Source organism: Homo sapiens, chromosome 17 (genome assembly GCF_000001405.40).
Source record: "Homo sapiens chromosome 17, GRCh38.p14 Primary Assembly".
Taxonomy (NCBI): domain Eukaryota; kingdom Metazoa; phylum Chordata; class Mammalia; order Primates; family Hominidae; genus Homo; species Homo sapiens.
The window spans coordinates 21,688,413-21,713,292 of NC_000017.11; the positions used below are offsets into that span (position 1 = coordinate 21,688,413).

A 24,880-nucleotide genomic window follows, 5' to 3' on the forward strand; every position below is an offset into this window, starting at 1 on the left:
GGGGTGAGCTCAGGCTCAGTGTGTCCAGCGTACATTTCACAGAGAGGCTGAAGGCGGGGAAATTGATGATTTTTCCCCCATCAAGTTCACAAAGCGCTGGCTTCTGTCCTTGGGCTCTGTGGCAGGACCTCCGGGAACCTGCTCCACTGTCTTGGGGACTGCAAAGCCTGCCCCTGCTTTGCCCGGCCCCCTTGCCTTGCCCCCAGGGTCCTTGGGTAGCCCTCCTGGGGGTCTGGGGACCTGAGCTTTAGTTTCCCAGCCATGGTGGGGGAGAAGTGGTCAGGGTCAGCTGCATCCCCAGGCCCCCACACCTGGCTGTTGTGCATTGTGAGTCCCCCAGCAAGGCCATAGAGCAGAGAGGATCTCCCATCACCCCCAGGCTCAGCTGGAACTCTCCTGCCGGCCTGGCAGAAAGCTGACATTTCCTGCCCTGTGGGCCAAACTCAGAGCTCAGCAGGGGTCAGAGAGTGACAGCCATGCTTTCTTCCTGCAGGGGCCACCCTGCTGTGAGCAGTTCATAAGGGAGGAAGGTGGAGATGCCCTGTTCCCAAGCTATGGGACCTCTCATTTGACAAATGGGGAAACTGAGACCCAGAGGGGACAGGGACGGGGCGGTCCCATGGTGAGCTGAAGCTGGAGTGGCCTTGGGTGGGCTGCAGTGCTGCCTGCCATCTTGTGATTCAGACTTTAAGGACTCTAGAGCACTCTTGGGGCACAGGGACAGAATCCTAGTTCCCAATCCCTTAACTTCCCCCAGGGACCTGGTTCTGTGCTGAGGCCCCTCAACGCAGTCAGACCCAGGTTCTACCCTCAGGAGACCCTTGGCCTGGTGGACTCAGAAAGACCGGCTGCACCCAGCATGGTCTGATCCAGGACAGAGGGAAGCACAAGGGGTGGGGCTTGGAAAGGGGTGTTGAAGGATGCATAGGAGTTTGAGGGAGAATGGGGAAGAGAGGGCCTTGGGTAGTGTCTGGCATGCAGCTTCCTCTGAGCGCCATCGACGAAGAGGTGCTCCCATCTGCCCAGCGTGCTGCACGTCCTCGGCCAAGTCCCCTCCCTTTCTGAGCTGTGTGCTTCTGTCTCGCCATCCATCTGCTGTCCTTGCCTCCCTTTCCCCCACCTCCCTGGCACACTCACTTCAGCCCCGCTGCCCTCCCCTGGCCTCAGCCTCAAGGCCTTTGTGGCTACAGTTCCCACTTCAAGGAGTTCCCTCTTCCCTCATTCTGTTCTCACTAGCTCTCCAGATGTCACCTACTCAGGCAGTCTTCCCTGACCTCTGGAATAGTCTCCACCCATCTCTGGATTTACTCAAGTTCTTTTTTTTTCCTCAGCCTGTTTTTTTTGGTCTGTCTTGCCCCAGCAGCATGTGGGCCCCCAGGCATGATGTCAGCGCATAGTAGAGGCTGGGCAGACGCCGCTGAGCGTGTGAGTCAATGCTGAGTGTGGTTCTGGCAGCAGTGCCAGGCCGTGGTGCGCTCACAGATCTGAAGTGTAAATGGGGCCTGAGCGATAGGCTTTCTGGAAGGCCTACTCTATTTTCCTGGACTCCACATCTCTGAGGTCAGCCTTCTGCCCATGGTAGGGTGAACCCCAGAGCCCTTAGAGTCTGTCAGGCCCTCCCAGGGAAACTTCTGTACCTGAAATAAGGCCAAATTTACAAAATAAAAGAAGGAAGCTAAGAAAGCAACTGTAACGTGCTCCCCTACAGAGAGCAGACAGGTTATGGGGGGCTGAGGCCCTAATCCTGGCTGGCCCTTTGTGAAGAAATAAATGCACCCCTCAAGCTGGGGACTTCCTTGCTGGGAGCAAGGCAGGCCTGGAGGGCTCACTGAGGGGTTGGTGGCTGGATTACAGAGGGACTGAGGCAGGACACCTGGGTGCTAGGCCCAGCTCTGGCTCAGACTGGTGACCTTGGGCATGGCTCCTCTCTGCACCTCATTTCCTCCTCTCAAAGAAGCTTGGGCCACCCCACCTGGGACTTCTGTGATGCAGCGAGCAGAAGCCAAGTACTGGGTCCTAGGGGCTCAAGAAACATGCTAGGAGTACTCACGGAGGAGCAAGGGACTTGGGGAAATCATGGAAGACTTCATGAAGGAGGCATCCTTTGAGCTTGGAGGATGCATTGCATTCTGAGAGGCAGAGAAAGGCATTTCATGGTGAGGGGCCAGCTCCGGCTGAGGCTCTGAGTTGTGGGACATTCCAGAGACATTGGAAGCCCAACCCTAGCTCTCTGCTCATTCCTACTGTGTCCTTTTTTCTTATTGATTCATAAGAACTCTTTATATATTAAGCACATGGGTCCTTTTTAAACAAACACATTATTTTTCTTTTATTTTACTTATGATTGGTTTTGACATCATACATATTTTTATGTTGGCAAATTTCCCAGCCTTTCCTTTGGTGGTCTTTCTGGTCCCAGGATGCTTCTTGTGTCCTTACCTTGGGTCCTTGCTCTCCTGTGCACATGCTGGCTGCTCAGGACGTGTCTGAGACTCCAATTAAGTTGAAGCTGGAAAATTTACAGCTGTATGAAAATCAGAAGCCAGGGTGCCTTTGCTGACCTGTGCCTCCCGCTGGGTTTCCTGCCCATCATTCCTTCTTGCCTGGAGTGGGGTCCAGCTGAGACCCTAAAGGGGCCTGTGACTCTCTGCAGGGTGAGGCAGAGGCTCATAGCTGTGATGAAGGGAGAGGGTGGGGGGACAGGGAGTTCCCAGCTGGCCAGTCACCATGTGTTCACTCATGGAAACTCCATTGCAACCTCATGAGATAGGTGCTATGATTAGTTCCATTTTATAGGTGAGAAAACTGCGGTTCAGAGAGGTTATGTGGCTAGCCCAAGGCCACACAAGAAGGGATGGAGACAGGATTTGAATTCATGCCTTGTTGCCCCAGAACTCTTATAGTTTCAAGCTCTCTTATGGCCCTTGGGCTCCCCATTGCCTTTGGGATCAAGTCTAGGCTCATTAATATGACATCTGAGGCCCCCTGGGGTGATGCCTCAGCCTCTGTGCCTGCACACGCTGAGCTTCCCTGATATGATGGTGTCAAGGCTGTGCCCATCTCGTCACACCTTCCCCACAAACCCCGAATAGTTTAGATCCTGGAATGGAGGGCTGGCAGGGCTTCTGTGGAGTAGCTGGGCCAGCCCCCTGGTTTGCACACAGTCAGGGTGGGTCTTGCCCAAGGCCCAGTGCCTGGAGAGTGAAGCTGGAATCTGCACCAAGACTGCAGGACTCTGGTGCTCTTAGCTGTGTCACTGTGCTATGGTTAGTCTCAGGCGGGGTTGTCACCCCTGCTGCTCGCTGCTGCCTCCCCACTGGCAGATACTCCTCTAGGAAGCACCCCTCCTGCCACTGGGTTAGACACCTCCCCTGGGCTCCAGAGGGCCCAGCGACTTATGACTGCTGACTTCTCACCGTCTGCCCTGTGAGGCAGGGTGCCCCATGAAGGCAGGCGCCCAATGCTTCCTCTTCAAGTCCTCGGTGCCCAGTGAGGACTTGAAGAGGGAGACCCAGAGAGGGACAGAGCCCTGCTCCAGGTCACACAGCAAGTTGGGGCAGAGCCAGGAGTCCTAGAAGGGCCCCAAGACCCTCCAGGTCTCCCCTGTTCGTGGGACTTAATGGAGCCCAGGGATGGGGCAGTGTCTGTGATGGCCACCCCAGCAGAGGGCACTACTGCAGGGCCTCTGTTCTCTGCTTCTCCCAGGGGCCTGGGGCCAAGGACACCCTCTGTCCCTCCTGCCCCCACCCTCTGTGAAGAAGGATGTTCTCAAGATAAAAATACCGTCAGAAACATTCCCTGGTGTTTGGTGTGACTGTCGTCCACCCTGTGGGGCCAGAATCTTCTGACCTGGCCTCACCTCAGGGCTTAAGGGTGGACATTTGCCTTTTCTAGCCGCTTGGTGCAGCCTCTTTCTGGGGTCCATATGTCCAGCCCCCATCTTTACGCCACAGAATGTGAGGGGTCAGTGTCACTCAAGGTTCCTGCAGCTTCCACTTTCTGAGCATCCTCTGTGGGCTGGGCGCATCCCGAGCATGGAACAGCGAGGCAGATCCTGCCCTTGTGCGTTTTGTGGCTCCTTGCGGGCCAGGGGGGCTTCTGAGGACATCCAGCAGGCCACAGGGAGGCTTGGGCACAGTCAGCTTTCCGTCCTGTTGGGAAGCCTGTTTCTGCTTTCAGTGCCTACGTGGTGTCAGGAACGCCGGTCACAGTGAACGCCTGCAGGACCCACACTGCTGCATCGTCTCTGTGGGACAGATACTGAAGCCAGGGCTTGGCTTACCCTCGTGACAGTCTCCCGAGGTGTGTGGGGTCTCCTCATTTTGCAGATGGGGAGTTTCAGGCCCCAGTCAGCTGGGGGGCTGCCAGGCCTCTCCAGGGAGGGTGACGGCTGCCACCTCCCAGAGACCCGCTGGGGCGAGGCCCAGTGCCCGGACTGCAGCTTCGTCACCACCTTCAATTTCATGGCACACCCTCTGAGAGGCCTGGCAGGCGACACCAGCCTCATTTTTCAGGGGAAGCTGAGCCTCAGGAAGGGGAAGTGCCTTGCCCTGTTCCGTGGGGGATTTCAGCCCCATCCTCAGCCCAGGCCCTGCCCTCCCCTGCGGGACGCTGTGGGCCAGCCCGGCCTGTTGGCCCTCAGTCGTGGTCATGGGGAAGCACTGCCCCTGCAGCCCACCTCCCCATCCAGGATTGTGACCATAACCCCGGGAAGCATTTGTGGGACTTGGCGGGGTGAGCTCACATGGCGGCTGCTGTGGCCCCTGCAGGTGGCGGGAGCTCTGGCCAGGGCATCCGGAAGGCTGGCTCCTGTTTGCAGGGTGCTGCCCTGCCCTGTGACTTCAGGAAATTCGCTTCTCTGCTCTACGTCTCAGTACCCCTGTGTAGAGTAGAGCTAATTTTGCCTTCCTCCTAGATAAAAACAAATCCAGCTGGATTTGTGGTCTGGGGAATGCCCCTTTCAGGTAGTAGGGAGTGAGGGACGAGGTTGGGAGAGCCTGGTGCAAGCCAGGTGACCAGCAGGATGTGGATAGATGCTGCTGCCCACACTTCTGGCCCCCACCCCTGCTTGGCTCCCCATGGCCCTGTGGCAATATCCGACCTTCGCTGCTCAGAGTTCCAGCTCCAGGTGACTGTGCAGGTGACTTAGCTTCTCTCAGCCTCAGTTTTCCTATCTGTCCAGAGGGGAGAATTGTCCCTCCTCCAAGGCAGGGCTGTGAGCATCGGGATGACTGCAGCCAGCTGCCAAGCATGCAGGGCCAAGCACAGTGTTGGCTCACTCGGGGAAGGGGGTGGACCCAAGTCCCTGCCGTGGAGGTCCCCAGCTGTTTGATGTTGGCTTGTGACAGAACCTCTCTGAAACTCTGCAGCTCATCCACCTGTCCATCCATCCACCCGTCCATCCATCCACCCATCCATCTCTGAACCTCTGTGTCCCCATCAGTTTTGAGGATGGAATGGCTGAGAGAGGCAAAGTGTAGGCCTGTGGCTTCTGCTCCCAGAATGATGAGGGATGGGGAAGAAGGGGCTGGGGATTGGGGGACTTGGAGGGTGAAGAGGGACTGAAGGGCCACTAGAGACCAGGCAGGCCATCCCATTTCAGAACAAGCTGAGAGAGGGGAAGTGACTCACTCAAGGTCACACAGCTTATGAGGGGCAGAGCTGGGATTTGAATCTAGGTCTGTGTGCCTGTAAACCACTGTCACCTGTCCCAGGAGGCTGATGATGTGGGGGTGACTCACCAACAGTTGCCTTAATTCCAGCCAGAAAAACCAGTGTGACAAACCAGCCTCGGCTGTAACCTTGGAAAGGGCAGGCCCCATGAACTCCATGGCTGGGAGGTGCGGAGGTGAGAAGCATGTCAGGTGGCTCACCGTGGAGATCCTCAGAGCCCCTTCCCACCAACCTCTTCTCTGATTCTCACGGCACACTGGATAGGAAGGCAGGGGGATCCCTTTGACAGGTGGGGAAATTGCATCTTTGGGATTGCAGGGACCATGTAGGATGTATGTGTACCCAAGGCAAATCTCTGGCAAATTACTGATGTGTGCCCATCCATGTAGTTAGCCATGTGCCCACCTGCTCATCCATCTAGTCATCTATCCTACTTGCCCAAACACCCTATCCATCCATCTACCCACTCATCACCCACCCTCACACTCATCCACCCATCCATCTATCCATCTACCCACCCATCCATCCACCCATCCACCCATCCATCTATCCATCTACCCACCCATCCACCCACCCATCCATTCACCCATCTGTCCATCCATCCACCCTTCCATCCCTCTATCCATTCATTTCTTTACCCACCCATACACTCATCCACCTGTCCATCTATCCACCCATCCACTCATCCACTCATTCACTCCACCCATCCATCACCCAACATTCCATCCATCCATCCATCCATGCACCCGTCACCCATTCATCCATTAATCTGTTCATCCACCCACTCAACCATATACCCACCCATCCACCCAGCCATCCCTCTATCCATTCACTTCTTCACTCACCCATCCACTCATTCACTCACCCATCCATCCACCCAATCATCTGCCCATCCATCCATCCCATTCGTCTATCCATCCATCCACCCACCCATTACCCATCCATCCACCCATCCATCCATCCATCCACCCATTCACCCATCTATCCCTCCATTCATTCATCTACCCATCCGCTCAGTCACCCACCCATCTACCCTTCTGTTCATCCATCCATCCAATCATCTACTTTCACACTTATCCATCCATCTATCCAACCATCCATCCATCCATCCATTCATCCATCCATCCATCCATCCATCTTTCCATCCTATTATCCATTCATCCACTCATCCATTCACCCATTCATCCACTCATCCATCCTTCCTCCATACAGCCATCCACCCTCACACCCAACCACTCATTCACCCATCCATCCATCCACCCACCCATGTATTCATTCATCCATATACCCACTCATCCATTTATCCATCCACCTACCCATTCATCCCTGCATTCATTTTTCCACCCACCTATCCATCATCCATCCATCCTTCCATCCATCCATCCATCCATCCATCCATCTACCCATTCATTCATCCACCCCCCCAGCTATTCACAACTGGCTCCAAGGTTGGCGTTGGGAAGGCTCTGCAGGTGGTGGCTGGGAGTACAGGCTGAGGGCCTGAATTCCTTTGTGACAGTGGGAGAATTACCACATTAACTACTTCTCTGGAATAGTAACAACAATAGTTCCAACCTTGTGGAATTGTGAGGATTATGTGAGATGATGTATGTAAAATGCCTACTATAGTGTCTGGCATGCAATAGGCACTCAATAATTGTCAGCGGTCATTTTTCTCTGACACTCCATCTTGTTCTGCTCTTCTCTGGTTCTGGATGGTTGCTATGCTGTGAAGGTGTGGGGCATCAAAGGTGCAGGCCAGAGGCCCTTCCATCTCCTGTGGGGCCCTGGGGAAGTGAGCAGAAATGTGGGTTCATGTGGTTATGTCTTACTTCTGTGCCCCTCTGAGAAGAGCAGCACCGCCTGCAGTAACTTGGCTTTACTCTTTTAACTTTAGGATGTTCTAGTGACTGGATCCTTTCCAGCTGGTGCCTGGGAAATGGCAGCCACTACTAATTCAGCCTTGAAGACAGTACCGTGCCTACTCAGCACCATTACGTAGAAGACAGAACTCAAGAGGTAAGAGTGAAGTCATTGACATGCTCTTGTGCATCTAGGCATTCCTTCCACCAGACTCTCATCTGTACATCCTTCACCCCTCCACCCACCATGCCATCCTTTCATCACCCATTCCCCCACCCATTTATCTGCTCAGCCTTCCATCCACCCACCCATGCCTCCACCCCTCCATCCATCCCCTCGCCCATGCCATCCGTTCCTCACCCATTCCCCCACCCATTCATCTGCTCAACCATCCATCCACCCATCCTTCCACCCACCTAGCCAGTCCATCTATCTGCTCACCCCTATCATCCACCCACCCATCTGTCAACCCGATTTATCCACCCATCTGCCTGACCACCCACATGTTGATTCAATCACTCTTCCACCCATCTCCTCATCCATCCCATTCAGCTGCTTAGTCCTTCACCCTTCATCTGGCTGGGATGCATTTCCTGGGTGCCCCTCTTTGCTAGTACCTGCATCAGCCTCTCTAGACCTCTGAGCTTGGTCAGAGATGGGGCCTGGGCAAGATCAACTCTCACACAAGGTGGGAAGTAGCTTCTGGCCTGAATGGGAAAAGCCCAGTGCTAGAGGATCCTAAAGGGGGCCAGGGGAGGAGGAGGAGGTGGAGGAGGCGGAGGAGAAGGCAGCTCAGTATTGTGGGGCAGAAGGTGGAGGAGGAAGAGCAGGAGGAGACTTGGTGTACAGCATCCAGGAGGGGAGGCCAGGGTTCAAGAGCCTTTGCTGTGGAGAGGCTACTGGAGACCCTATGAGGAAGGCCCAGGAGACAAAGGTTCCAGCGCAAGTAGTTTCCTGGGAGGTGATCCCAGGAAATAAGGAAATGAGGTGAGAAAGAGAAGGAAGTGATAAAGGGCATGTCGTTGATACAGTTACTGCTGGGGCACTGGAGCTGACTCCCGCTGGGGAGGCCAGGGAAGCAGTGCCCCTCCCAGGGGCAGCTTGCTGGGGCCCAGCCACCTGCTCCCATCAGTCACTGACTGAAAGCTGTCCTGGCAGCATCAGCTCCTCAGCCTGCCCTCTGAATGGCAGAGCATGTCCACGGCTAGAGAGAGTTTTTGGGCAGAGAGACACTGGTTCGTGTAGGAATTGAGACAGGTGGGCCTGAGGTGGTAAGGGCCTAGGATATCAGTGGGGCACCCACCACCCCATGCCCTGCACACAGTGATGTGTTGCTGCTGCCTCTCTCCTCGGGCCTAGCCTGCATTTGGCATAGGAAGCCATCATGGCATTGGACCCAAATGTTTGAGGGCCATGGGTTAGCTTGGTGGACAGAGGCCAGGTGAGTCTCTGGTGGGGAAGTTTGGCCTGGAAAGGGGATTGGGCGTAAGAGGTCATCATCTTCTTCCCAGATTATGAGACATAGGAATGCCACCCACCACTCTCCCTCTCCCCTCCACACCAGCCTGGGTTCTCCCCCATCCAGCCAAGCTTCCTCACTGCCCCAGGGTGCCCAGCACGTCTTTGCCTCCCACTCCTGGCTCTGGCAGTGTCCCCCAGCAGTGCCCCTCCTGGCTGCCTGTGCCCAGCCTAGCCTTGATGTGGTCCTACACCCAGGGCAGGGCCTGGCATGAGGGAGAGCCCCTAACCCTGCAGCCAGCCCTGCCTCTCACACCCTATGTGATGGAGCAAGGGCACCACTGGCTCAGAGCCTCAGTCTCCCCATCTGCAAAGGAAGGGCTGGGCTTTCCAGGCCCCAGTGCTGCATCTGATGAATGGTGCCTGGATTAGGAAAGATTCTGAGCTGCTCTGGATGCAGTGGATGAAGCTCTGTGGCTGAGGAATGGTGCTTGCCTGGGCGAGGCTGGAGCAGGCACCTTGGGCGGGGAGGCGTGTGCCAGCCTTCCCTGCATTGAGTGATCTCCAAGGGGTCTTCCAATGGTAAGGCTTGATCATGAGGTAGAGTGCCCCATCTCCGAATGAGGGTGAGTGGCTGTGGGTTGGAGTGCTGGTGAGGGCCCTTGAACCTGTTCTTTTGAGTGCCGATTTGTGGCAGTCTACATCTCATCACCACCTGGGATTGCAGGGGCTTGGGACCAAAAGGATTGCAGTGCCACGCACACAGTCAGGCCTCAGGTCTTGGTGTTGTGGGGCACTGGTTTCACCCCTACAGCCCAGCCTGGAAGCTTCACTCCTGAAAGGCTGTGTAACCATCACAGTGACTCAATCTTCCTAGGCTTCCGTCTGCTCATCTGGAAAATGGGGATAATAATCACAGTGTGATGGAAGGGATTAAATGAATCAGTTTATTAAAGCTCTTAGAAGAGCACGTGGCAGGTAGTAAGCACTTGATAGATACTGAGTGCTGTGTTCGTGCCTCATGAGGCGCCCTAGCTAGCTGAACAGTCTCTGCATGAGGGATGGGGGCTGTTGGCGCCTCCCCCTCCGAGTCCCTATGTCTTACCCTGGGTGATGCAGGCGCCTGCACTCTCCCTTCCAGTCAGTGCTTTCTTGGTGTCTGGGAATGTGGGTCCAGGCCTTGCCCTGGGCTCCTCCCAGATGTCACCGAAACCTGAGAAGCCCAGGGCCTCAGGGCAGTGGGCATGGGGCATCCAGTTCCATCCGGAAGCACCTCCCGGTGACTCCTGGACCCCACCCTTAGGTCACGTGGCAGCTGCCGTCTGGCATCCTCTCTAAAAGCTCCCAGCCCAGGCCCTGGTCTGTTCTTCAAGTGGACTGGTCGCTGGGAGGCTGCGTCTGTAGGCACTGTGGCCAGCAGGAAAGCAGGGATCTCCGGGGGTCTGCCGGGCCCGCGCTCTCTCCCCACTGCCTGCTCTCTCCCTCCTGGGTTTGCTTCACTGCCCCTTGGTGTTGAAACCGCCTTGTCTAGCTCAGGTAGTGTACCCCAGCGCCCCTCTCCCATTCCCCTCCCGGCGACCCTGGGACCCTGGCAGGCCAACCCCGGTGTCTGTGGAAAACGGTCCTAACTTTAGTAGTGAGCACCTTGTCTTGGCCCTGGAATTGCTTTGTGACCTGGGACAAGTCTCTTTTTCTTTTTGGACTTGGTTCTCCCATCTGTGAAATGGGGAGCCAGCCTTCTTGCTTGCTAAGGCCTCTTCCAGCAAAACAGTTTCTCTGATTTCATGTCTTGTCTGATTTCACTGTATGCACCCCATTGAGCAAGAGCCAAAAAGGCCTGTGTGTCCCTGGTGGAGGATATTGTCCTATATTTCTTAAATTGCGACCTTGAAGGCCGCATGTTTGTGTAACTTCTTGCCACACCTGTGTTTACGCAGGAGTGTTCTTGGGACATTGTCTAGCTTGTGGTGCTAGGGTTTCTATGCCAGGGTCCCCTTCTGGGTCTGTCTTTGTGGTGCTGTATTCACCAAGTGCCCAGTGAGGGGGCTCCCAGCACCCCTGGGGAGGGTCTCTCTCTCTCTCTCTCACACACACACACATGCACACACGGCAGAGCAGGGCTGTGTGAGGCTGAGGACTGACATTCTGGGCTCCAACTCTCTCTTCTGCTCAGTTTCCAGGGGTCCTGGGACAGGTGTCTTTGTCAGTTTTTGGCTCTGAGAAATGAGGGAGTGGGGCATGAACTTGACCTTGTTGATGCTCTCTGTGTGGTAAAACCACGCAGAGAGGAACGTCAACAGAAGTGGGGGTTTCCAAGCCTGTATGACACCATCTGGGCAGGTCTGGGGTGCCCAGCCCTGGCAGAGATGCCAGGAGCTGTGGCAGCACCCTCACCAGTCTGGTAGCTGGCCAGTTTCGAGGCCGCCAGCTACTGGGAGCACATGCAGACCGGGCTCTCTGGCCTTTAATTCTTGTGATTCTGTTCCTTGCAGGCTTTGAGCTGCTTGGAGCAGGGGCTGGAGCAGCCATGACCCGCTGGAAGTCCCTCAAGGCCCCTGGGCCACACAAATCCAGCCCCTGTCAGCTGGTGGCCTCACGCCGGCGTCTGAGTGCCCCGGCCCTGGCTGCCTCCTTCTGGAGGGTCCAGGAATCTGGGGCTGAGCCCCTTTCCCAGCACAGCCTCAGGGGTCCCCCCTGCCGCCAGCTCCCTACTTCCAGGCCCAGGCAGAAGCAGTGTCCACCATTCCGGCCCTGCGTCCCAGCTCCTCAGCGTCATGGTGAGGTGGTCAGCCACAGCGGTGTTGGGGAAGGACGGCAGAGTAAGGAAAGGCATCCCTGCAGAGCTTGGGGGCCCATGGTGGGGGACGGCGCTAGAGGTGGTTTAAAACTCAACTCTCCTGCTTAATGGCTGTGTGGCCTGGGGGAAGTCACTTAACTTCTCTGAACCTGGATGGTGGCTGCACCCCCGGGTTGTTGAGAGGACGATCTGAGGGCAGCTGTTGATGGATCTGTCCCCCAAGGCGCCCAGGACCCCGCCTGCTCTCCCTGTGTCTCTCTCAGGCGGCAGTTGCTGTGTGCTGCTCGGACCAGCGGGCTCGGGGCTAAGCAACCAGGCAGCCCCTGGGAGTGTTCCACAGCCTGGCCGGGCAGGCGGCTCCACCATCACCTGTTGCTCAGGTGTTTGGAGCAGAGCTCAGAGGCCGCGCCTGCTCCGAGGCCCAGACTAGTGTGGACGTGGCCAGAAGCTGGGTCACACAGACCGGGGCTGAGTCCTGGCATTGCTGCCTCCTGCCTATGGGACTGGGACAAGTCCATTCTGGCTTCTGGGCCTCCAGGTCCTTGTTTGTAAAGCAGGGTGGCCCACCCCTCCCTGGAGGGCTTGAGAGGCCTGCAGAAGGCTGTGTGCAGCGCCTGGTTCACAGTGGTGCCATCCCCCCAGGATGTTCTCTTGGGGCCTCAGTGTCTTCGTAACTGAGTAATGTGGCTGCAGGTGTGCTAAGGGAGAAGGCTTTGTCTAGCTCTGAGGTTATGGTGTGACTGGACTGGGACTGGGGGTGCTGGGTCCCTGTGGGCGGGGAGGGGTGGGCCTGTCCAGCTCCTCCGTCGGGGCTAATGCTGGAAGGCCCAGGTCTCCCTGCTTCCAGCCTAGCCCAGCCAAGGCAGGCTGCCATCCAGATGTGGCTGTGGGCCAGGCGGTGCCATAGCCCCTAGCTTGCAGATGCCCTAGCCTGTCACTGACAGGCCGGTGTGGGGCCTTTAGTGGGGGCAGCACAGCCTGTGTGTCCCGGGGGTGGGCACATCAGTGGCTGAGAGCAGGCTTTGTTCTGGCTGGCATGGATGCCCTGCTGCGGGGCCTGTCTTGGGGTGCCTGAATGTGCAGTAGGCTGGCCTGGAGCCAGGTGCTGCCTGCAGTGAGCTGAGGGTGGTGCTGGGAACAGGTGACACCCCTGAGCACTGCCCAGGTGCCAGGGTAGCAGCCTTGCAATCTTCCTTAGAGATGCGGGAAGCAGGGGCTGGGGAGGGCCCTCGGCTGAGGTCAGCCAGGGAGCAGCCCATGTCTGGGTGCCAGATCTTACCCTCTTTGGCACTGCTGGTGACCAAGAAGCTGCAAGCATGGCATGTGGGTGTCAGGAGGGTGGTGGGACCCAGCTTGGGGTGTTCAAAGTGGGTGGCGACAGGGGTGGCAGGCCGCATTCTAGGCCCTGGGAAGGACAACAAGAAGCAAAAGAGAAAACGTCTCACGCCTGTAATCCCAGCACTTCAGGAGGCCGAGGCAGGTGGATCACCTGAGGTCAAGAGTTTGAGACCAGCCTGGCCAACATGGTGAAACCCCGTCTCTACTTAAAATACAAAAGTTAGCTGGATGTGGTGGCGGGCACCTATAATCCCAGCTGCTCAGGAAGCTGAGGCAGGAGAATCGCTTGAACCTAGGAGGCGGAGATGGCAGTGAGCTGAAATTGCGCCATTGCATTCCAGCCTAGGTGATGAGAGGAAGATTCTGTCTAAAAAAGAAAAAAAAAAGAAAAAAGAAAAGAAAAAAAAAGAAAATGTGCTACCCTTAGGGAGTGGTGGTCTCAGGGTGGGGTTGATGGTTGAGTGCCCCCAGCTACGTTATTGTTATTGCTGCCGCCATTGTGCCCTTAGAAAGGGCAGTGCTGTGGATATAGCAGGGATGGGACATGGGTCTTCCTGGGGCACAAGGAGGCCTCTGGTGCCAAGGTGGCGAGGCAGTGGCAGGATGTCTTGCGGGAGGGTGTCCAGGGTGGGTTTGAGGGACAGCCTGGTGCCAGGGGCTGTGGCTGGATGGGGAGTCCGCTGGAGGAGGCTGGGAGGTGAAGTCCGAGGGGTCAGGAGCTTCCCTGTGCAGGTTCTGCATGTCCTGGGGGGCCTCTGACATTGAGCAAGGGAGGGATAGGCACCGACTCAGCTTCCACAGGCCCTCTGTGGCTGCCATGGAGACTGGGGGGCCATCGGCAGAGGCAGAGAGGCTGGCAAGTTGTGCCCCGAACTGGCTGGGCAGGCACTGTTAGATTCAGGCCTTGAGGGTGGGAGAAGGGGTCGGATCCTAAATAGACTCTTCAGAGCCCTCAGTGTGGGAGTGAGGTGTGGAGCTGAGGTTTTTGGCTGGAGCTGCTGGGGGCCCGAAGGGGGTGGCCACTCGCACTGGGAAGGCGGAGTGGGGAGCTGGCTTAGGCAAGACCAGAGCATGATTGTGGGTCAATCAGGGTGGAAGCGTCCTCCAGTCACGTCTGGGGGCCCTGGGATGGGGGTAGAGGAGCCTGGAGCCACCAGCCCAGCCAGACATGCTGTCCTCTCTGTTCCAGGAGCCGCCCTGCCTGGAGCTAGCCTGGGGGTGAGCCAGGGTCCCCCAACCCCCGGGATGACCGCGGCCAGCCGGGCCAACCCCTACAGCATCGTGTCATTGGAGGAGGACGGGCTGCACCTGGTCACCATGTCGGGCGCCAACGGCTTCGGCAACGGCAAGGTGCACACGCGGCGCAGGTGCCGCAACCGCTTCGTCAAGAAGAATGGCCAGTGCAACATTGCGTTCGCCAACATGGACGAGAAGTCACAGCGCTACCTGGCTGACATGTTCACCACCTGTGTGGACATCCGCTGGCGCTACATGCTGCTCATCTTCTCGCTGGCCTTCCTTGCCTCCTGGCTGCTGTTCGGCGTCATCTTCTGGGTCATCGCGGTGGCACACGGTGACCTGGAGCCGGCTGAGGGCCACGGCCGCACACCCTGTGTGATGCAGGTGCACGGCTTCATGGCGGCCTTCCTCTTCTCCATCGAGACGCAGACCACCATCGGCTACGGGCTGCGCTGTGTGACGGAGGAGTGCCTGGTGGCCGTCTTCATGGTGGTGGCCCAGTCCATCGTGGGCTGCATCATCGACTCCTTCATGATTGGTGCCATCATGGCCAAGATGGCAAGGCCCAAGAAGCGGGCACAGACGCTGCTGTTCAGCCACAACGCCGTGGTGGCCCTGCGTGACGGCAAGCTCTGCCTCATGTGGCGTGTGGGCAACCTGCGCAAGAGCCACATTGTGGAGGCCCATGTGCGCGCGCAGCTCATCAAGCCGCGGGTCACCGAGGAGGGCGAGTACATCCCGCTGGACCAGATCGACATCGATGTGGGCTTCGACAAGGGCCTGGACCGCATCTTTCTGGTGTCGCCCATCACCATCTTGCATGAAATTGACGAGGCCAGCCCGCTCTTCGGCATCAGCCGGCAGGACCTGGAGACGGACGACTTTGAGATCGTGGTCATCCTGGAAGGCATGGTGGAGGCCACAGCCATGACCACCCAGGCCCGCAGCTCCTACCTGGCCAATGAGATCCTGTGGGGTCACCGCTTTGAGCCCGTGCTCTTCGAGGAGAAGAACCAGTACAAGATTGACTACTCGCACTTCCACAAGACCTATGAGGTGCCCTCTACGCCCCGCTGCAGTGCGAAGGATCTGGTAGAGAACAAGTTCCTGCTGCCCAGTGCCAACTCCTTCTGCTATGAGAACGAGCTGGCCTTCCTGAGCCGTGACGAGGAGGATGAGGCGGACGGAGACCAGGACGGCCGAAGCCGGGATGGCCTCAGCCCCCAGGCCAGGCATGACTTTGACAGACTCCAGGCTGGCGGCGGGGTCCTGGAGCAGCGGCCCTACAGACGGGGGTCAGAGATCTGAGCCAACCTTGGCCGACATGCAGCATCCACCCCTGGCCGGGGAGAGGCCCCGCGGTCGCTCAGGGGCCCTGGGTTTGAGCAGAACGGGCCCAGTGCCCTGGGTTGCAGACTCAGTAGCGTTTTAGTCGTTTTATGTTTCTTTGCAAAGGCCTCAGAAGGTTGGCCGGAGAGGGGGCAGCCAGAGCGGCAGCCCCCGGCCTCAGAGGCTATCACAGGCTCAGGGCAAAGAAGTGGCCTCCTGGGGGGCCAGGCCACGGGGGCCAGGGCTTCTGCCTGAAGATGGAGCTGCAGCCTGCGGGGAAGCAGCCCAGCTCGATGGTGGGCCCAGCCTCTGCTGTCCAAGGCTGGCTAGCTGCGGTGCTCCTTGCTGGTTTTTAACTTGGGGAGAAACACCGGGTTTCAGCTTTCTCGACCTTAGCTTGGGTGAGACTGTTTACAAAAAAAAAAAAAACCATGCAATTGGAGAAAAAAATTTTAATTCATAGGGGGCAAAAAGAACAATTAGAATTCCATGGGTCTGCCAGGATGCAGCAGCTGGCTGGAGGCTCCAGAGGGTTCCCCGAGGTGGGACCGGCCTCTCCCCGTGTATGTGGGCACTGCAGTCCCTGGGCAAGCAGGGTGCTCTGGGGCCGCACTTTGTCGAGCTCACGAGCCAGCTAGGCTCTGTTTGTGATAGAAAAATCAAGACCATGTTAATGATTGTAATAAAAGCTTTCTGCTGTCTTTGGGGTGCTGGGTGGGTCTGGGAAGAAAGTGGTTTGAGCTTTTAGAGTTTGCCTTTGTACCTTAGAGATGTGTCTCAGGGCCAGGCATGGGACCTGCCATCGAGGGTTCCTCCTCCCACCCTCGATTTTCCTGTTTTGCTTCTTTCTCCATTTCTGTCCAGGCCTCCGCCCAATTCCACAGTGAGGGGTGGTTAGGAGCCATAGGCCAGGATGCCTCCTTGGGAAGGGAAGTCAGGATCCCAGGCTAGGAGGAAGCTGGCAGCCCCGTCCCCACTGGGCCCACAGTGTGAGTCGTGCGTTAGAGACTCCGTGTTGTCCTGTTCTTTCTGGGCTCGCTCATCTCCCTGCAACCCTGTCCCACCCCACCTCGCCCATACCTCCGCTGCTGAAGTTCCTCCAGCCCCTCTGTCTGCCTTGTGAATGTGGCAGGGGCCAGGTCTGCCTGACATAGGACCACATCCTGTCCCTCCCTCACCTGGAGCAGCACAGCAGAGTTCAGGCAGGGCACAGCCAGGCCCTGGTCAACGCTGAATGGCAGAGGAAAGATCTTAGGAAAGGAGAGGAATCACTACCCCCTCCTGCCAACTGGGATGACCGGAGGTGAGCGTGTGCGTCCGGCTCTTGTGTAGGAGGCTGTGTGTGTGCCCATGTGAACCCATGTACTTGAGTGTGTGTCTGTGTGCAGCCTATGCCTGCTGCTCAGAGCATGGTGGCCACCCCCTGAGCCTCTGCTGGTGCTGTGCTGCCCGGTCCCCACCCAGAGGGTCCTGGGGGGTGGGGAGGAGCCACTGTTGGGAGGCCCCTGTATAGGGTGTCTGCCCTGCGTGAGGTCATAGAATGTCAAATTACTTTAAATGGTGAAACTGGAGAATTTTCATGTTATTTTCAATGCACAGCAGTATCTAAAGACATAGGCGATGAGACTAGATCACATTAAGTGCATTTTGATCTCTTTGAGGTCCCCTGTGTCGAGATGTGTTTTCTGAAGGTCCCCTGCATGGCTCCACAGCGTGCTGGGCATCCACCCGGCTTCCTCAGCCTCCGCCTTGGGTGGGGGTTTCCTGGGGCTTCCTCATGGGTGAGGGTGGGGCATGGTGGCAGTTGTTGGGAGACGGAACAGAGCTCACCCTCCTTGCAGCTCCCAGTGGTCTCCAGCAAGCACACAGGGCTTGTCCCATGATGTCACCTCTCCCAGGTGGCAGGGCCGAGCCTCCTGCCTTCCCTTCCTTCTGCAAGGATGTGCTGGGTGCCTGCAGTTGCAGCAGTGCCCTCCCCAGCTGGGGGAGGCTGACCTGAGACAGGCAACTCCTTTCCCAGGAGGGGAAGCCCTGCTCCAGCTTGTAGCAGGCAGGGGCCGAGGAAGAGTTTCAGAGCGTGCCAATGTCTCCACTGAGGTGACGAGACAAGCCTGGAGTGGGGTGAGGGAACACACACGGCCCAGTTTTGGGAAACTAGACTTTCATCTGTACCTTGAGGCTCAGCCCCAGATCTCCAAGGTCTTCAGCAGGGACTTGTGGGGAGAGAATTCCTTCCCTTCCCAAACTATGTGAGTGGAGAGTTCTCCACTCCTCTGCATCAGCAAAGGACTCAGGGCACCCTCTTTCTGCAGGATTTCGATGATGATTCCAGACAATCATGGATAAGAATCCCCTGCCCGAGTCATTCCTGGGTGATGGTGCCGTGCATGGCAGAATGTGGAGCAGGGGTTTGGGTGCCAGGGCCTAGGGGGTCATGAAGGCTTCCCAATGGGAGCTCCCTTGGGTTGGACTTGGGGTGACCCGGGGACCCTGGAGGTGGCTTGGTTTGGTGGGGACCTCCTTTCTGACTCTGGGGCCCTCCTAGGACCCCAGTAGCAGGATCTAAGCCAACTGGGGCCAAAACACGGTGGCATCTGTCTCCACTGCACTCAAGCCCTCCGGGCCATTCCCATGGCACTGACTGGTAGGCATGAGGCCCTGGCCCCAGTTGGTGCTCAACAAATGCTTATCGTAGAGTCTCCAGGTGCGCTGTCCTGGCTGCACTAATGCCGCATAGGGCCCTGGGTCAGAATGCAGGCCACTCATTTGCTGGGGGACCTCCTGTGAATTCCTTTCCCCCTCCAGCCTCGGTCTCCTGATCTGCAAAAAGGGAGTGTTCATAAGAATGGCCAGCTCACAGGTTTGTTGGAAAGGAGGAGAAAGAACCCTGACATAGTGAGTGCTCCTCAGTGCCTGCCTTCTGCTAAGTCAGATTGCACTGGCACTGCCCGCCCTCCTGAGGGGCACCCGGAGGTGCTGCTCTGGCTCAAGGTCACAGCAAGGAACACATAGCCCAGGCCTAACCCCAGGTCTGCGTGACTTCCATGCACTTCCCTGCCTCTCCAGGGATGATGTGAGCCCAATCCAGAATCTGCTTTAAAACAGGTAGAGCTGGGATGGGGGTGGAGAGCTTGTGAGTGTTCACTGAGCGCCTGCGAGCTTGATGTTTGAGGTCTGTCAGGCCCCACCCTTGATCTTGGGCTGGCCCCTGTCAGCAGGCCTCAGAGGCACTGCTAACCTATTTTAGAGGAGGTTGGTCGAGGGAAGCTAAGGGACTTGCTCGAGGCCCCCACAGTTCCTCAAGCTGGGATCTAAGCCAGGCCCTGGACCCTTCGGTCAGTTGACCCAGATGCTGCCACCCTGCTGGCCACTGGACACCACAGGGCCTCTGCCTGCTGGTGACCAGGGCTGGGCTGCGGTCTCTGCCAGTGGAGGGGTGCCCCAGCTGGGGCTTGCCCTGGACTCATCTCCACTTTTCCCTTCCTAAAACCGGTCTGCAGGGAGGACCCCCACAACTTGGGAGGAATCACAGCCCAGATCAGAGCTGCCTGTGTGCTCCCCAACAGTAGTGGGGCCGCCAAGGACACGTCGGACCCCCTTCAGCCCACTCTCCACCCAGCACCAGAGTGGTCTTCTTACAACCAGAATCAGGCCTTGCAGCCCCCTGTCTGAAACACCCCCTGGCTTCTCCCTAACACTGGCAATAAAATCCCAGCTGCTCCCTGCCCGTTCACCTCTGCAAGCCCGCGCCATGCAGCCCAACCTTCCCTGCTCTCCCTCCTGCTCCTGACCCTCTGCTGCAGGCACCCTGTCCCTTGGGTTTCCTGACATTCCACATGTCCCCTTACCCCAGGACCTTTGCGCGTGCCTTCCCTCTGCCTGACACTTTCCCCTCAGGTCTTAGCAGACCCAGCTCCTCAATTTTCGAGTCTAGGCCTTTCTGGACCCAGTGCGAGGGATGGCAGATGCTCCCTCTGGAGGCAGTCATCACCCCCAGGCTTGCTGTCTGCTGTCCTCACCAGGCTGCGAGCTCTGTGGGGCAGGGACTGCCATCTCGGTCCCCGCTGGTGCCCAGTGCCAGGAGCAGGGCATGGAGGAGCTCCATGTGTGCTTGGATGGGGGGTGTGGGCCCTGCAGGCGTCTCTCCCACACAGAGGGCTCTACAGGTCTTGCCACCTGAGGCCCCCTTTTTGCTGACCCAGCCAGGATGGGGCCCAGCCACCAGCCACACCCAGGGGAGAGCAGCCCAGCCTGGGGTAACTGGAACCGGGAACCAGGAACAGAGCGGACAAGGGCTTTTGTGCTGAAGGCGATTTGAGCCCAAGGAAGGCTCTGGGTACTCCACCCGCTTTCCTCCTCGGTGCTGCCAAGAAAACATAGAAGGCGGCTCCCCTTTCACCCACAGCTGGACTGGGACCTGGATGGCCTGGCTTCTGGACTCTGCCCTTAAGTGTTTATGACTGGCCAACTCTGGGCCTCAGTTGCCTTCTATGGAACAAGAACTCCATTCATTCCTTCAGACAAGTGTTTATGAGCTGCCACTGTGAGCATCAGGGGCCAGGTGGGAAGGAAGCCAGGCCCAGCAGATGGTGAACAAGAGTCTGGGCCTGAGTCCTCTACAAGCGGGGATTCTGCTGCAGGGGAAGGATAGGGGAGAGGGGAGCAGCCTAGGCAGGAAGGAGCTGAGGAAGGATATGGGTGCCACTGGAGCCCATCACTGTCTGGCACTCCTAGGAGTGTGAAGAGGGGCAAGGGGTTGTCCTCCTTAGGTGAGGGGGGTGGGGCGGCGGTGGCAGCTATTGCGCTCATTGGTCACTCCTTGCTTGCAGCCACCCTGGGAGAGGAGGTGGCTCCTATGGATCCAGGACTATTCTCCAGAGGAGGGTGGCAGGGAGATGGGCACTCCTCCCAGGAACCGGATCTGGGTGGCCCCAACCATGTCCACTGCAGCAAGGAGCTACAGAGCAGCGTGGTCCCAGGATCCAGCGGGACACATGCAGGGGCTGCGTCCGGAGGCACGGAGGCCTGGCTGGAGGGACCGGGGACCTCCCAAAGGAAGTGACACTTCCTCTGGGATCTGTGGGATGACTGGGTGTTTGCCAGGCACACAGGGAAGTGCTTCCCAGGGAGAGGGACAGGCACAACCAAAGGCCTTGCAGTGGGAGACAGAAGAAGGAAGATGCTTGGCTGGGGTGGGCGGGTCACCGAGAGCCCAAGGACTCTGTGCAGGGCCCAGCCTCAGTCTTGTTCTCAGCCCCTCCCCGGCCTCCACCATAGCCACAGCATGGCTGCATTGCCCAACCCAGAATATCAGCCCTTGGGAGCAGGACTTTTTTGTTCTGCTTTGTTCGTAGCTGGGTCCCAGCCCCCAGAACTGCAAGCACTGGCACCCAGTAGGCTCTCAGTAAATCCTTAGCTGCTTCAAGATGTAAAAGGACCTTCAAGCCAGAGTTGGTGCAGTGTGGGCCTGTCCCTGGGGTGCCTGGGACCCTGCTGCAGGGCAGGGTAGGGTGGTAACCACCAGTGACCAGGAGCAGGAAGGGATAGGGTCCACAAGGGGTCCCAGGGGCTCCTCTGCACAGCTAATGCCAGAGGTGCTGGGGGGTGGGCCACACAAGCAACCCCAGCCTCAAATTAGGGACCCACCGACCAGGATCCACTGTGCTGTCAGAATAACATTTCGAAAGGCAAAAAATAAAACACACTGAGTTTCAAAGGAAATCTGTTTTATTGAAATGCAGTTATCAAAATATGAACAGATACATTGGTGGTATACTAATGGCTCTATTTCCTCACGGACCTGCTAATGGCCTCTGCCTCCCTGGCTGGTGAGCACAGCCCCTCCCAAGGGGGCCAGCAATGTCACAGGGCATGGGAATGCCTCCTGATCTGTGGGCGACAGGATAGTAGGCACTGGGCACTGCTCACCCTTGTCTGTCAAGGAAGAAATTGCAAAACTTCTCTGAGAGTGAGACGAAGTTGAGATTGAATGCTTCTCATTTCCCAGTGCACGTGCCCTGAGGCTTATCCCCAGACCCTGAGGGAGTTCAGGCCACAGGGGCTGGGCTGGGCCAGAGTAATTTCTTGAACCCAGTGCTGAATCTCAGAGTCAGAGCACTCCTGCCCGCCCCAACCCCCAGCCCCCAAGTCTGCTCGACCTGAGGGAGGATGGGGTGCTCCCTACGGAACACCAGGACAGTTCAAGGGTCTTCGCCCTGCACTTGTTTGGAGGCTGCAATGGTGGGTCGTGACTTTCACTTCATGGCTGTTAGAGGGCACTCCCTTTGCACTTAGCCCAGAAGCCGTAAACACTATGAATGCCATGGACAAGTGAATAGCAGGGAATGAAAGCTAGGGGTCCTCTTAGGCATGACCCTATGCCAGTCCTGGAGCCACCCAGAGAGGACATCTGAGGACTCTGAAGACCTTGGCTGCACTAACTTCTCTGTGCCTGTTCTCTCCTCTGTAAAATGGGGCTGATGATCATAAAGCCACAGGTAAAAGTAGGCAACCGCCTGTGGCAGCACCTGGCACAGGGGCACTGCCTGAGCACCAGCTTTCCTCTCTAGCTGCCTTATCTGGGGTACAAGCATCCCAGGCGGGGCAACCCTGGACTGGTGCTCTGTGGCTGGAGGAGAAAGGGAAGGCCAGTGGGGCTGGGCCAGTTAGAGCCGGGGAGGAGGAATGGGCTGGGGCTGGGGCTGGGATCTGCTGACTCCAGTGTGATAGAAGCAAGAAAGACCCCTGACATGTTTGACTTTTCAGGATCATTCCTGTTGCCATGTAGGAAGCAGGCCAGGGAGGAGGGCCCTGGGACTGGGCTGAGTGTGCAGCCCAAAAAGTGGCCCGAGGAAACATCGCGGCATCCAGGCTGGTCTGTGGACTTGGGTGGGAGCAGCCAGGCAGATGGGGAGGACTAAGGAGGAGAAGCTTGCGGAGAGTGATGGCCTCTCTGGATGCTTTAAAATGCAAACAAAGGCACAGCCACTTTGGAGGTTGGTTTGCAGTTTCTTGATAAAGTTAAACGTACACTTGTCAGACGGTCCTGCCGTTTGTTAACTAGGTACTACTGAAGAGAAATGAGACTCATGTTCACACAAAAACTTGTAAGTGGATGTTTATAGCAGTGTTACTAGTAATCGCCCAAACAAGGAAGTGGCCCACACGTGCCTCACCTGGTGAGGGGACAAGCAAGCCGTGGCCCACCCCGAGATGGAAGCGTCCCGAGCAGGGAGAAAGGATATTGACACCTGGCACCATAAATGTGTCCCAAAGGAAGCGGCAGAGCGGAAGGAGCCAGGCCCCGCCACTTCCTGCTGTGGGTCCCACATGTGTCCATGGAAGCTGTGAATGGAGTAGGGGATGGAGAACACATCCGCAGCTGCCAGGGGCTGAGGGTGGAGGCGTGGTTACCATGAGGGAAAGGAGGCAGTTTTGGGGCTTGGTGTCTTGAATATGGCTACACGGATATGTGCACTTTGTCAAAACTCACAGGACGGTGCACAGCAAAGGATGAGTATAGGTACATTACACCTTAAATTTTTTTTAAAGTGGGGAAAGAAAAAGAAGTTGCCACAAAAACCTTGTATGTTGAGCCATCAGCCTGTCTGGATTTCAGACACATTGGAGGAGAGGTCGGGTCTGTAGTTTGAGACTGGGGAGCCACCAGCTGTGGACAGAGTCAAGTGACTGAGAGATTAAAGACACCAGACACCTAGACACTGAGGATGTGGCAAGGTGAGGTTGGGAGAGGGCATGGGGTGGAAGGCATTGGGAATGACAGAGGCAAATTGGCAGGAAGATTGACACACAGATAAAAAGAGATGGTTGGATGAGCAGAAAGACAGGCAGAGAGACAGACGTGGACTAACAGACAGGCAGAAAGTGGATACAGAGACAAATATCCACTAACTGAGCAACAGGTAGACAGAAAGATGCTGTAAAGATAGAAAATTGTGTAAGTAGATGGATGGAGCTAAGGGTAGCTCTCAGGTGGACACAGACAGAAATGCAGACAGATGTCTTGGCTTACGAGTGCATGAACAGCCTGCCCTGATTTTCTGGGGCATTCTTCTAGATCTTGGATCTATGGTGTTGGCATTGACTTACGCCCTCTTTGGAGTCAGAGACGACTCCTCTCGCTCAGTGCCCTGCTCCACACTTCCCTGCTGCTGGGCCGGCCACTGCTGCACAAGTGGCTGCAGAAATCCCTCCTGGCAGGGACTAAGGCAGGCAGGCTGGGCTGCTGTGGACCCCGGGCCATTTTCTGAGTTGGGAAAAGGGTGCTGTCCAGGTGGTGTGGGCCGTGTAAAGGCAGTAAAGGGTTTCAAAAGGCCTGTCAGTGCATATCATCTGGAGTAGGGTGTGTGCTGGGGAACGGGGAGGAGGAGGACAGAGAAAATAGGAAACTTTGAGCTTGCCTGAGGAAGAACATCCACATGGATTATGAAGGATGGCTCATATTGACTGTATTTTCATTCAAATGTGCAAAACTATTTACTGAATTTTTTTACTGACCGGAAATAACTCCTGACTTACAGAATATTTTCATTTCCAAGTTACACTTTACCCTGAGTTACATAGCAGGCGCATCCGTAGTGATTCTGCACCCCACGCCCTCGCCAGCCCCTGGAAGACACTGGCTGGCCCTTGGCTGAAATGACCCAAATCAAAAGCCCCTGCCTTTCTGCTAATGGGCGTTGGGGAGATTGACCAGCAAAGAGCTATGGACAAGAAGCAGGACTGTCCATTTAAAAAGGACAAAAATCAGAGCCCAGTCCCAGGCCTGGGCAGCTCCTGTCAACATCCCATCCCCCTTGCACTGAACCAGCTGTGGCCCGCACTTTTTCCCATGGTCATGCCTGGGAAATGAAGGTGCAGGGACATGCAGGCGAGCTGGGGCGTGGAGTCACATCTGTTTCCAGAACATTCATGCTAAGGGAGGAACAGGGTCCGCATTGGAGAACATGGGGCAGGTGACTGGAAAAAGGGAAGCTAGAGCCACTTTTATTGTTTCCCGGGGTAACAGAAAACTTGGAGCCACAAGTGAGTCCCGGGAGAGTTTGGGTTAACTGGCCCCGAAGCCATCCTGTGTCGTGTGTGTATGTGTGTGTGTGTATGTGTGTTCCACTATGTGTTTTTCCCTGTGTGGCCTCAGTGTGTGTGTGTTTGCCTGAACTGCTT

General features: G+C 56.9%; 1 protein-coding gene across 2 annotated transcripts; it reads left to right on the forward strand.

The window, feature by feature from the left end:
* KCNJ18 (potassium inwardly rectifying channel subfamily J member 18) lies at window positions 4,111-16,200 on the forward strand. Of its 2 annotated transcripts, NM_001194958.2 has the most exons (3): window positions 4,111-4,302; window positions 7,571-7,692; window positions 14,319-16,200. In NM_001194958.2, the coding sequence occupies exon 3, from the start codon at window positions 14,375-14,377 to the stop codon at window positions 15,674-15,676; it is 1,302 nt and encodes a 433-aa protein (NP_001181887.2). In that variant the 5' UTR covers window positions 4,111-4,302; window positions 7,571-7,692; window positions 14,319-14,374; the 3' UTR covers window positions 15,677-16,200. The 2 variants fall into 2 exon arrangements, with proteins under 2 accessions (NP_001181887.2, XP_005276976.1); XM_005276919.4 differs by lacking the exons at window positions 4,111-4,302; window positions 7,571-7,692 and adding an exon at window positions 11,040-11,771.